General features: G+C 36.9%; 2 annotated features.

Annotated features, from left to right (window-relative positions):
- Positions 7,893-8,062: an enhancer, noted in NCBI's record as "experimental_20960 CRE fragment used in MPRA reporter constructs". NCBI's record gives its function as "activates a minimal promoter by MPRAs in K562 erythroleukemia cells, with activity observed for the non-introgressed 11:23380313 variant allele {active_cell/tissue: K562}" and the evidence as "EXISTENCE:reporter gene assay evidence [ECO:0000049][PMID:34662402]".
- Positions 8,514-9,713: an enhancer, noted in NCBI's record as "MED14-independent group 3 enhancer chr11:23380849-23382048 (GRCh37/hg19 assembly coordinates)". NCBI's record gives its function as "activates an origin of replication core promoter dependent on BRD2, BRD4, P300/CBP and CDK7 cofactors, and independent of MED14, by STARR-seq in HCT116 cells {active_cell/tissue: HCT116}" and the evidence as "EXISTENCE:reporter gene assay evidence [ECO:0000049][PMID:35650434]".

The following is a 12,021-nucleotide window of genomic DNA, read 5'->3' on the forward strand; positions in this document are numbered from 1 at the left end:
ATGCCTTGATCTTGGACTTCCAAAAATAAATTTTTGCTCTTTATAAATTACACAGCCTAAGGTACTTTGTTATAGCAATGAAATGACACTAAGACAAATATTAGTATGGAGAAATGGAGTGTTCCTCTAATTAATACCTAAAAATGTTCGTACAGTTTTGCAACTGGGAAAAAGAGAAAGCTGACAGTAAAGGACTATCCTGGTGAGAGCTCAGAAGAGGAGAGTTGTAGGGAGAGCCTAAATATTCTTAGAGATTACTTAAGTGATTTTAATCTGAATTCTGCTAGAAATATGGACAGCCATGGCCATTCTGATGAAGTCTTAGATGGAAATGTGAAATATGTTATTGGAAACTAGACAAAAGGCAACATTTCTTATGAAGTGGCAAATAACTTGGCTAGATTATGTCCATATTTTATTGCTTTTTGGAAAGCAGAATTTAAGAGCAACAAACTAGTATATTTGGCAGAAGACATCTCTAAGCAATGTGTTCAAAGTGCTGCATGGTTTCTCTTGGCAACTTATAGTAAAAGTTGAGAATGGAGAGTGAGTTAAAGACATAATTTTTAATTAAAAGAGAAGCAGAGCTTCAAGATTAGGAAAATTATCAGCCTGACCAGATTTTAAAGAATCAAAAGCTGTGTTTGGGAAAGAATACCAAGGGTGTAGCCAAGTGACGTTTTGATAAGAACATTAGTATGAATAGAAGGAAGTCAGATGCTATCCATCAAGACAATAGAAGAAAGACCCTTAAAGCATTTCAGAAATTATTGGTCCTGCCACTCCTATCACAGGCCCAAAGTGCCAGGGCCTTGTGGAAAGGACAATTTAAAAGAAGAAAACAAGGGTACCTAAGGAAACTTAGGGCTTGCTACTCAGAGCTTCCTAAAATCTCTGCTCTAAAATCACAGTGCAGCTCTCCTTAGCTGACCCAGCTGTGGCTCAAGCAGTCCTAGCTGTGGCTCAAACTGCTGCTTGGAGTCACAAGCTGTAAACTTTGGCAAAATGCACATGGTGTCAACTCTCAAGGTGCACAGAGTGCAGGATTTGTGGAGGCATAGCTATCAACTCCTAGATTTCAAAACCAACACCTAGATTTCAAATGGTACATTAGAGAGCTTTGGGGCCCAGGCAAAGAACTCTACAGGAGGAGGACTACCACCGAAAATTCCCACTAGGGCAATGCCTACTGAAGCGATGGGGTTGAAGCCACTGCAGAGAGTCCCCATTAGGTCAATGTTTAGTGGAGCCATGGGGGCAGGTGGGTCGGAGAGAACTCCACTAGGGCAATGCCCAGCATAGCTGTGGAATGGGGCCAGGAAGAAAGCCTCCAATATGACAAAACATATTGGAACCATTGGATCAGGGCCTCTAGGGTACTCCAAATCTGTAAAGACACCAGTGTGCAATGCCAGCCTGGGAAAGCCACAGGTACAAGATACAAATCCATTAAAGGAACAGTGTGGGCTGTGCTCAGCAAAGCTGTGAGGGTTGGGCAGCCTAGCGCCTTAGGGGCCAAACCCTTTTCTCAGTGTGTTCTGAAGGAAGGGTATAGAGTCAAGGAAGGATTATTCCTTGATAATTATTTTCAGCCTCAAAATTTAATGTTTGCTTTGTTGAGTTTTAGACTTACTTGAGACCTATTACCTCTTTCTTCCTATTCCTTCCTTTTTGGAATGGAAATATCTGTCTTTTGTCTGTCCTACATTTGTGTTTTGGAAGCACATAACTTATTTGATCTCACATGCTCACAACTAGAGAGAAATTTGCCATAGGATTAATTGTACCTTAAGTGTCACCATCAGATTTAGATGATATTTAGATAAGATTCGGGACTTTAAACGTTTGAGTTGATTTTGGAGCAATTTAAAACTTTGGGGATATTTATTAAAATATGAATATATCTTCAATGCAAGAAAAACATGAATATTTGAGTTTCCTCAAAAAGTTACATTGAAACTTAATCCCCAGTGCAATAGTGTTAAGCAATGGGGCCTTTTAAAGGTGATTAGGTCATGAGGTCTTTGTACTCATGAATAGAGTAGTGCTTGAGGGATTGAATTTACCCATTCATCCCTTCTGCTTTGTGAGAATACAGCATCTGTCCCCTCTGGAAGATGTAGCAACGAGGCACCATCTTGAAAACAGAGAGCTGTCTCACCAGAAAACAAACTTGCCAGTGCCTTGGTCTTGAACTTCCCAGCCTCCAGAATTGTAAGAAAAAAATTTCTGTTCTTTAAAAATTATTCAGTCTAAGGTATTTTGCTATGGCAGCATAAGTAAAACTAATATACTTGAGAAAGAATCTTGCCTATTTCAGCTTTGTAAGCCACCAACTTTTATTAACTAATGGATACCTTCTATTTTCTAAGTCAGTAACATAGCATCTCTTTGGCCAGTCTTCGTTTTCTCACATTCATTTCTTTGATCCCCTTTTTCTGCCTCCCCTTTCTACTTTAATGATTATTTTTATTACACGTGGCCTACTTGAATAATCTAGCCCAAACCCTTCATTGTCTTTCAGAACCTGGGAAAAGTTCTTTTTAGACTTGGCCCCATTTTTGGGGAGTGTGGCTCCACTGTTAAATAATCGTAACTTCATCAACAGTAGAACCTGGTTGTAGTTGAGTAGTTTGATTGGCACATTTCTTGCTTGTTGAATTTTGGGGGTCTGTCAATCTTCTTTAACATAGTTTTCTTCTCTCTTCAGTCCATCTAGTGATGTTTCTGCTGATATAACATTTTCAAGAACCTTAAGAATATCTTGTGTATTAGACAAGAGGCTCCTCAACAGATTTTTCTTAGATAATCTCATCTTTACTTTTAGCTTTTACTGAGATAGTGAACGAAACCACGTCCTATTTCTGAGATATGAAAAAAAGATTGTCCAGCCATACTTTCAGGGTATTTTTTTTCTCTAAATAAGGCTTTTCTGACAGTAAATTTGTAATTTTAGCATCTTTTGCAATCCAAGTAAGCTGAGAATTTTCAAAGTCATCAAATCCTGATTCCTTTATTGCTTAATAGTTCTTTCCCCAATTGTTTATTTTCCTCTTGCATTTTGCTGTAAGCAGCAAGAAGAAATTAAGCTACATATTTAAAACATTGCTTGGAAATCTCCTCAGCTAAGTATTAAAATTCTTCATTTATGTTTTGCTTTTCACATAAGTATAGAAAACATTTCATCTATGCTTTTTGCAGCTATGCATAAGAGTTCCTTTCCTTCAGTTTTCAAAAACATATTTCTCTTTTCATCTAAGGAATTACCAACAATACCTTTAATTTTAATTTTTATTTTTTTTTTTTGAGACAGGGTCTCTTTTTATCACATAGGCTGGAGTGCAATTGCATGATCATGACTCATTGCAGCCTTGACCTCTCAGGCTCAAGTGATCCTCCAACCTCAGCCTCCCAAGTAGCTGGAACTACAGGTGTATCTCACCACACCTGGCTAATTTTTAAAAAAAAATTTTACAGACAGGGTCTCAACATTTTGCCCAGTTTGGTCTCAAACTCCTGGGCTCAAGTGATCTTCCCAACTCAGCCTCTAAATGTGCTGAGATTAGAGGCATGAGCCAGCATGCCTAGCAAATGTGCATATTTTTACTGACATTCTTTTAGTGACAATTAAGTCATTCTCTAAGATTATATATATTTTTCTCTCCCATGCCCCTCATTTTCTCCTGAGCCCTCAATAGAAGAATTATGTATATCCATGTTCCTACTAATAGTACATGAAAGGCAACCTAGGATTTTTCTATGATGTTTTTGAAGTTCTTCCAGCCTCTGTTCACTGCTCAAACACAAAGCCACTTCTGCATTTTTAGATATTTGTGATAGAATCACATCACTTCCAGGTAACAAAACCTACATTACTTTCCTATTTCTGCTATAACATATTATCACTTCATGACTTAAAGCATATATATTTATTATTTTATAATTTCAAAGATCAGAAATCTCACATGGATTACACTAAACTCAAGTTGTAAATAGGGCTTTTGGAGGCTCTAAAAAGAGCCTTCCCTCTTCCAGCTTCTAGATTCCACCCACTTTCCTTGGCTCCTGGGCTCCTTCCTCCATCTTCAAAGCCAGAAATATTGGGCTGACTCCTGCCATCTCTGGTTCTATTTTTTGACTACTTCTCCCATTTTTAAGAATTCTTGTAATGACTTTGGGCACTATCTTAGTTGGCCCAACTTGCAATAACAAAATACCTTAGACTTCATAGTTTTTAAGCAACAGAAATTTATTTCTTATAGTTCTAGAGGCTTGGAAGTCCAGGATGAGGGTGCCAGCATGGTCAGGTTCTATGAGGACCCTCTTCTGTTTATATTTATTATTGTGTCCTCACATGGTGGAAGCGGTAAGGCAGCTCTCTGGGGCCTCTTTTATAAAGGCACTAATCTCATTCATGAAGATGGAGCCCTCATAATGTGATCACCTCTCAAAGGTTCTACCTTCTAATGTGATCATTTTGGTGATTAGGATGCAAGGTATTAATTTTGTGGGACATGAACATTCAGACTATAACAGGCACACCTGAATAATCTAGGATAATCTCTCTCTCTCTCTCTCTCTCTCTCTCTCTCTTTCTCTCTTCATATAGGGTCTCACCCTGTCATCCAGGCTGGAGTACAAATGACTGGATCACCATTTACTGCAGTCTCGACCTCCTGGATGCAAACATTTCTCCCACCTCAGCCTCCCAAGTAGCTAGGACTACTAGAGCTTGCCACTACACCCAGCTAATATTTTGTATTTTTTGTAGAGAGAGGGTTTTGCTATGTTTGCCAAGCTGGTCTCGAACTCCTAGGCTCAAGCGATCTGTCGGCCTCGGCATCCCAAAGTGCTGGGATTACAAGCATGAGCTGCAGAGTTTTCCAATCTACTTTAAGACCAGCTTATTATCAACCTTACTTCATTGTACAATCTCTATTTTTCTTTGCCATGTAACCTGACATATTCACAGATTCCATAAATTAGAACACAGACATCTTTGAGAGACAAATATTCTGCCTACCACAATGCCCTACTTTCTTTTTCTCTAGAAAAGATTTTAATAATATGTTTGAACATGTTGGTTTTAAGGCTTAATAAATTTTACAAATATATATGGAAGCTTTTTTGTGTGTTATAAAGTGATATATAGGTTGAATTTATTTTGATCATATAAATTTGTTTTACAAAATATATGAGAAACATGCCTATAAGACATATCTAAAATGTTAAAAACTTGTGTGCATTTGAAATGATTCCATGAAGAAATTAAGATGAAGAAACTGGTAAGAATGATTAAAAACAATAATACCATTTTCTAGTCATTTAACAGATATGCCTGGCAAAAGTATTAGGTTCTTTTTACTGATTAGTTTAAACCCTCACAGCAATCAATAAAATGAAGATTTACAATCTGCATTTTATAGACACTAAAGCTGGGTCCAAAAATGGCCCAATAATGCAAATGCAAAGTCAAGTTATTAAGTAGCACAGGCAGAGTTTGAGCTTCAAATGCCTTAGTCTTTTCACTACTATGATTTCTCTTTCTCTCTTGTAACATAAGAAATAAATACATATTTTTTAATTAGTCACTTACTGACATACAGGACGTTTCTGGAGTATAACTTAACCCACTCTAGCAGATAAACTTTCCAAATTTTAAAAAATATTTTGAATATAATTATATCTAGTTTAAGTACATATTAGTATGAATATATGTTTTATGTATAAAAAATGGAATAAAACCCATATAATATAAAGGAGGTTGTGTTTATATGCAGATTAAGGGTTCAGTTAAGAACAATTTCAGGAGAGACATAGTTTTGTTACTTTTTTAAGGATGGAATAGAATTTAACCTGAACAAACTGGTGTTAAGAGAAGGCTTGTGGAAAGATGGAAGGTAATTCCAGAAAGTGGAACCAATAAAAACAAATGTAGAAATGTGGGACACTTTACATTTGTTTAGAAACATTTGGCTGACGTGTAGTTTGCATGAGAAGGAGGAGTGAGAAATAAGGCATGAGAGGCAAAGCAGGGACAGACTGGTTCAGAGGCTTCACCTTTAAGGTGAGAAGTTTGCACTTAATTTAGTAGCCAATCTGGAGTCATGGAAGAACTCTGATTCAGAGGGAATTGCATATAATATAATTGATCTTATATCCTGGCATTTTAATGTTAAAAAATATTTTCTGAGTATGTAACATACAGACAAACTATAATTATTACATGAGGATTTTGAGAAATGGATACAGGTATTTTTGTTTGTTTCCTTTTTTGAAGTTCTGGCTCTGCATATTTCAAACCCTGCGTCTACTGTGTTTCCACATGTCACACACTATGGAGCATATTCATATTGCAATGCAACTTTAAACTCTTCACCTTGATGTACTTTGCAAGATTTATTGGCACAGTAAGCAGTAAGAAGAGTCCTAGGAGCCATTTTTATACCGGGATAGCTAATATGATTATACATGAATATGACTACAGGTACAGAATACCTACTAAATCTGAAGAAAATGTATCTCCAGATTCAGTCTTCCCTTGGCTGAGTTTCAAAATTGCCCACAGTAACTACAAATCGGGTGGCATAAGGGAAGTTGGAGTGGAAATAGAAAGTAGTCATAACTAATTTTAGTTAAAATGTTTTTTTTTTCAAATTTAAAAAAAATATGTGACCATGTGAGCACATTTTCTTTAGAGCACATTTTAGGACCTTAGGAAAGTTCTGTGTAAGTGAGGGTCTCTGGAACTTTGCTTCATTACTATCCTAGCTTATTTTCTGTTGCTTATAATAGAATACCTGCAAGTGGGTAATTTATACAGAAAAATGATTTTTTTTCTTACAGTTATGGAGGCTGAGAAGTCCAAGGATGAGGGCTGCATTTGGTGAGGGCCTTCTTGCTGGTGGGAACTCTGCAAAGTCCTGAGGTGGAAGAGGGCATCATCTAGGTGAGGGGGCTGAGTGTGCTAGTTCAGGTCTCTCTTCCTCTTCTGAAGAAGCAACCAGTATGACTACCATGATAACCTTTTAAACCATTAACCCATTCATCCATGAATCCATAAATGGATTAATCCATTTATGAGGGCACCTTATAAAGGTCCCAAATCTCAATGCTGCCACACTGGGAATTGTTAATACAAGTTGGAGGAGACAAACATTCAAACTATAGCCCTTAGTTTTATAATGAAAATGCTTCCGTATGCAATACCTCCTCCTGACCTATACTTCTGGAGCATATATTTGAAATCAGGTTGGGCTTTGAGCATAAGCTTCATTAGATCAGGGATTTATGCTTGTTGCTGTCCTAGATGCCTACTTTAAGTGTAGTTTAGAATAGGCCTTCCAAAGAGTCTTTGGCATGACTGAATACATGAATGAACTATATCTATCTTTATTTTAATTTTAATGAGTTCCTGGTTATCAAATTCAAGTAATTCACCTATTCATCAACAGTTACACTTTTCTAAAATAGCATATGCAGCTACATGATTTTAGAGAACATAAGTTGTCCTAAAGATATTCTTTGGCATTTCTGACCATTGCTACTACTCCTATGAAGAAACGATGAAGTAAAATTTAGTTTCCTACTGAAGAAAATGCCTGATTAAGAATATAAATTTAGAATGAGGTATGAATTATTTTAAGAAGACTAATAATGGAGAGTTAAGATTATAAGAAAGAAGAAAAACTTGCTTAAAAGCAATCAAAATAGGTTACTTTTCTTTCATTCTTCTTTCTCAGCCACCTGATACTCTTAGAAATTATTTAAGTATATTTTTAAGGCTTCCAACAAACTTAAATAAGTAATGTTATCACATTTTACAGTGAAAAATATTAAGGCATAGAGCATTTAAATAACTTGCTCAAAATCTCAGTAGATGAATGCTGAAGCTAAAGTTTGAACTAAGAACTAAGGTCTATTATCGTTTCTCCTGATGATTACAATCACCTGTGAAACATAAGAATATGTGAACATTCCATCTGTAATTTAATATATAAGGAGAAATTACAGGTGGAATGGTCACATATTCTTTATGTTTCACATCGTATTATAAATGTCTCCACTTAGACTCCTAAAAAATTAACTTGGGTGCTCATTCTGACTTTTTGTTCATTCTTTTATAGAAGAGTATTCACTTACTTGGGACGATCTCAATGGTAATTTTGAAGAAGATGCATTTGGTAGTTAATGAAAAATGTGGCTATTCTTCTTTTTACCTTGTGAACCTTTTAAGTCTTGGGTTGAAGTACATGTGATATTTTACTTTGAGAGAATCTGCAAGATGATAAAAGAAGGCTACAGGTCAAATAGGGAGGAGAGAGAGGGATTGTAGTTAAAGGTAAGCTAAGTGATTTAGAGCAGGTTAAGACAGAAAGGAAAGCAAACGACACTAATGAAAGGCGAGCTAGAATGGGTTGAAAGCAGTCGTCTGTCTTTAAAGGAGATCAACTGGATAATAAATGCAATGTATTCACTTCAGATCCTTATAGAGCTAAAAATTCAATATTTTATTATATTTAAATTATTAAGAGAAGCAAATGGGATGAGGAGAAGTCAGAGCAAAGGATACATTTCTCCTAATGTCAAAGAAGAATGTGCATAAAATATAGATCACACAAGTATTACAGATCAAAGAGACAAGTGAGGTCCAAGGTCTGAGTGGAGCACAGCTGCAGTATGACTCATATGAACAGTGCTTGCTGAATTCATATTCACAGGAGTATCATAAACAAATGAAAGAAGTCCCTGGGTCATAATCTCCCTAGTTCCCTGATGTAATTTGCAGTGACTCAGACTTTCATGGTTTCAATTCTATCTTTCATTTGTACTATTTTTTTAATTCAATTTAACTTGGTCTAACCAAAAGCAAAACAGTAAATATGTGTGTGTGTGTGTGATTTTACAGAGACATTTCAGCTATCCAACATTTTGGAAGATAAGCTCTGAAGCTTCACTCTAGAAGCCTGAGAAATCTGAAAGCAGAATATTACCTTGAGCAATGAATAATGTATGAAGAAAATCCATACCATGTAATTTCTTGAATGCCAGCACTCAATTTCTGTTTTGATCCTCTTATTTCCCATGCACATTTTATGGTATGTCACTATAAGTCCTTTTAGAAAGCAAGTAATATATATATTACAAATGAATACACAGATAGGCCTGGAAATCAGATGCCTCATAACACAGCTTTGCCACTTACTTGCTTTGTAACATTAGTTTATTATTCAATCTCCCTGGGCTCCAACTTCCTCAGCTCCATGGTATAAGGTCTAATTTTTTGTTTGTTTGTTTGTTTTGAGCTGGAGTCTCACTCTGTCGCCCAGGCTGGAGTGCAATGCATGATCTCGGCTCACTGCAGACTCTACCTCCTGGGTTCAGGTGATTCTCCTGCCTCAGCCTCTGGAGTAGCTGAGATTACAGGCGCCTGCCACAATGCCTGGGTAATTTCTGAGTTTTTAGTAGAGATGGGGTTTCACCGTTTCGACCAGGCTGGTCTCGAACTCCTGACCTCAAGTGATCCGCCTGCCTTGGTCTCCCAAAGTGCTGGGATTACAGGTGTGAGCCACCGTGCCCACCCTATAAGGTCTAATGTTAAGGCCCAATATTATGTGCTGCCGTGATATCTGCAAAACCTGGGAGTTCCTTGAATGGCCTCATTACAAGTTTCCCTCTACACTCTGTTCCCACAGATAAGGTCCCTTAGCAAAACAATTATCTTAACCAAGGGAACCAAGAGCAGTTTATACTTATTCCTGAGTAATGGGTTTCAGTCTCAGCCAACTGCAAAATTATTCAAACAAGCCAGTCTCACCCTCATGTGAGAATGAGGTGTCACTTCACTCTCTTGGTGCCACAAAGCTACCTACCACATTCCCGGCTTATTACTCTTATTTTCTTCCAAGAACAACCATGCTATGGCCCTGCATGTTATGCGATGCCCTCCTCTTCTAAGCTATGAGTACGTGTGGCTAATAAAAGTGCTATCAATTTCATCTGTCCAAGCTAGGGAACTTCCATTACCCTATGGGAATTCCTTTCTCCCTAATTGGGTGAAGAGTTGGTTATCAAAGTAATGTCCCATCCAACTTTGTCATGTTGTAATTGATACATAAAGATACTTTAGACAGAGAAACCTGGTAATCCTACTTCTCACTGGCCACACGGTTCCTCCCAACTTGTATTTGTCAGTCTATTCCCCACATTAATTCCATGCAGGAGCAAATCTAGCACAAATGTTCTTCTACTACATAACCCAGGTAGGGGTTCTTTATATGTGATATTTATTGTTCTTTGCTCTAAATTATGTGAAGACAGGTAACAATTTCCTACCTGATCAAATGACAATTTATACTTTCATAGTAGTCTTAAAGGCCTTTGGGAAACTGTGTTTCCATTTGTTGTGAAGCTATTAAAATAAAAATCTTTATTTTCACCTTTAGTAACTCTACTGTAAAAACAGGAAAATTATTGTACTTAATTGCTGGAAAATAACAGATATATATAGATATATAAACCTATTAGCAGGTCTGCCATAGACTACATCCTGGTAATTTTTGTTCCACAAAATTTTCAGCCTATTTTCACAAAATATCTGAAGACAAATACCATCACTTAAGTCTAAAATATCACGGTTGAAAATTGCGTGTTATTAATACTTCACTTTAGGGCTTTTGCTCTAGTTATTTCTAACACCCCTGCTTTCAAATATCTGTGCTACCTGCTTCATCTGATTCAAATGCTATTCATGATAACTACTATATTTATTATTATAAGAGGTGTTCCCTTGGAGCAACTCCACTATCCTTTACCCTCTTCTATGTTTTTTGTTTTTCTTTGCCATTATATTCTTTGCCATCCAATATAGGATATAATTTACTTTCTGAAAAGTATTATATTATCTATACTTCAACTAGACTATACGATCCATAAAATTTGGAATATTTTATTCATTGAAGTAATCCAAGTAACTAGACCATGTTTAGAACATAATAGGAGCTCTATAATACGTATTGAATAAACAAATTATATTTCCATCTGTATCTTCTAAGTGGCTCCAGAAAAGGCTATGAGTTAGTTTGGCCATCTTTTAATTTCTTCTGTGAGAAGGCCAAATGATAGAATTATTTTCACTTTATATACACAAAAAGCAGAGGATTAGAGATATTTCATGAATAACCCATGGGTATGCAGCTAGTAAATTAGGACATTAGAGTTCAAACCTTAGATTTTTCTTCTGTAAAATCAAAATAGTTATAGAATCTACCTCTCATGTTATGGTATATTACTTCTTTTTCACGTTGCTGATAAAGACATACCCAAGACTGGGCAATTTACATAAGAAAGAGGTTTAATTGGACTTACAGTTCCATGTGGCTGGGGAAGCCTCACAGTCATGATGAAAGGCAAGGAGGAGCAAGTCCCATCTTACATGGATGGCAGCAGGCAAAGAGAGAATGAGGAAGATGCAAAAGCAGAAACCCCTGATCAAACCATCAGATTTTGTGAGACTTATTCACTACCATGAGAACAGTATGGGAGAAACCACCCCCATGATTCAGTTATCTCCCACCAGGTCCCTCCCCCAACATGTGAGAATTATGAGAGTAGAATTCAAGATGAGATTTGGGTGGGGACACAGAGCCAAACCATATCATTCCGCACCTGGCTCCTGCCAAATCTAATGTCCTCACATTTCAAAACCAGTCATGCCTTCCCAACAGTCCCCAAAAGTCTTAACTCATTTCAGCATTAACTCAAAAGTCCACAGTCCAAAGTCTCACCTGACACAAGGCAAGTCCTTTCCACCTATGAGCCTGTAAAATCAAAACCAAGCTAGTTGTTTCCTAGATACAATGGGGGTCCATGGACATTGGATAAATATAACCGTTTCAAATGGCAGAAATTGGCCAAAACAAAAAGGCTACAGGGCCTATGCAAGTCCAAAATCCAGCAGGGCCATCAAATCTTATAGCTCCAAAATTATCTCCTTTGACTCTATGTCTCACATCCAGGTTA

This window comes from Homo sapiens, chromosome 11, assembly GCF_000001405.40.
Source record: "Homo sapiens chromosome 11, GRCh38.p14 Primary Assembly".
In the NCBI taxonomy this organism is placed as follows: domain Eukaryota; kingdom Metazoa; phylum Chordata; class Mammalia; order Primates; family Hominidae; genus Homo; species Homo sapiens.